The sequence below is a fragment of the Homo sapiens genome, chromosome 8 (assembly GCF_000001405.40).
Source record: "Homo sapiens chromosome 8, GRCh38.p14 Primary Assembly".
NCBI classification, from domain to species: domain Eukaryota; kingdom Metazoa; phylum Chordata; class Mammalia; order Primates; family Hominidae; genus Homo; species Homo sapiens.
In genome coordinates, this window is record NC_000008.11 from 133,325,196 (window position 1) to 133,326,876 (window position 1,681).

Sequence of the window (1,681 nt, forward strand, 5' to 3'; positions counted from 1 at the left end):
GGATGGAGAATCAGATGAGCACAAAGGAAACCCTTCCTACATATTAGTTTTAAGAATAAATAAATTATTCAACAATGAATACATTAATTCCCAGCCCAGGCCCTTGTTTTGGCCTCAAATAAAGAAATAATGGGTTGTATTCAATCTCCTCTTCATCTTTCATAACAGAACACCAAATTTTAACAGATAACCAGCCTAAATAGATATTTCCCAGTTTCCCTGGTATGTGACAATGTTTTGGCCAAAGCGATCTAATTAGAAGGGTTTGAAAACTTCTAGAAAATATGCTTCAAGAAAAAGCATGCACAAGTTAATTTGTTTCTTCCTTTATGCTGGCAAGAGTGAAATGCAATGGCTGGAGCTCCAGCAGTTACTGTGGACCAGAAGGTGACCTTAGGCATGAAACCAATGCAGCACAGAACAACGGAGAGAAGGAACCTGATTCATTGACACTCTGGGGCTCCATACCAGCCCAGACAGCTCCTTGGAATGCCTTGGACACAACAGAGAAGTAAACGTCTATGTTGCTTAAACTGCTGTTATTTGGGTTTTTTTTCTATTACTCATAATTAGACATAATCTAACTACTACAAGTCTCTAATGAAGGAGCCCATTGGAGGCAATATAGATTAGTCAAGAGCTCAGAATGTAAATCCAGATGCACTTGCTAAGGACATGACCTTATACAAGCTACTTCACCCTCTGGAGTCTCAGTTTCCTCATCCGTACAATGGGTTTAATAATAGCATTTATCCTCTTCCTCAGCGCTGCCTATGAGGTGGCAGCCATCTCCTCAGCATCATGGCCGCCCTTAGACCCCTTGTGAAGTCCAAGATCGTCAAAAAGAGAACCAAGAAGTTCATCCGTCACCAGTCAGACTGATATGTCAGAATTAAGTGTAACTGATGGGAACCCAGAGGTATTGACAGCAGGGTTCACAGAAGGTTCAAAGGCCAGATCTTGATGCCCAACATTGGTTATGGGAGCAACCAAAAAACAAAGCACATGCTGCCCAGTGGCTTCTGGAAGTTCCTGGTCCACAATGTCAAGGAGCTGGAAGTGCTGCTGATGTGCAATAAATCTTACTGTGCTGACATCGCTCACAATGTTGCCTCCAAGAACCACAAAGCCAACATGGAAAGAGCCGCCCAGCTAGCCATCAGAGTCACCAACCCTAATGCCAGGCAGCGTGGCAAAGAAAATGAGTAGACAGCTCATGTGCACGTTTGTGTTTAAATAAAACTGTAAAAACTGCCAAAAGAATTAGCATTTATCCCATGAGTTGGTATAATCCATGGTGTGGATAAACGGAGGTACATCTTATAAAGTACAAGCGCATAGCTCACTCTGAGGCCCAGGCAGTGGCGTGCTCAGCCGAGATCTTGTCTTTAGCACCCAGGCCCCAGCATGGGGACTGGGGTGGGATCAGTTTTTGTCAGTTGATGATGATGATGGGGATGCTTTACTTATTGTCACAAGTGACCGTGAGCCAGCTTGGTCTTGATGGAGGGGCAGCCCAGGACTCCTGGCTGAACCTTCATCAATGGAGCAGAGGGCTGCCAGAAAGAAAAAGGCACAGTGGGGGACTTCCTTGACAATCCAGCCTTTACCAGCTTGGAGGATTTTTTGGAAAGGTGGGTGGTTCCATAGGGATGTGGGCTGACTATTCCACAGTGCTGCA

The 1,681-nt window shown here is 44.7% G+C and overlaps 1 pseudogene; it reads left to right on the forward strand.

Annotated features, from left to right (window-relative positions):
- On the forward strand, positions 755-1,257 carry RPL32P20 (ribosomal protein L32 pseudogene 20; annotated as a pseudogene).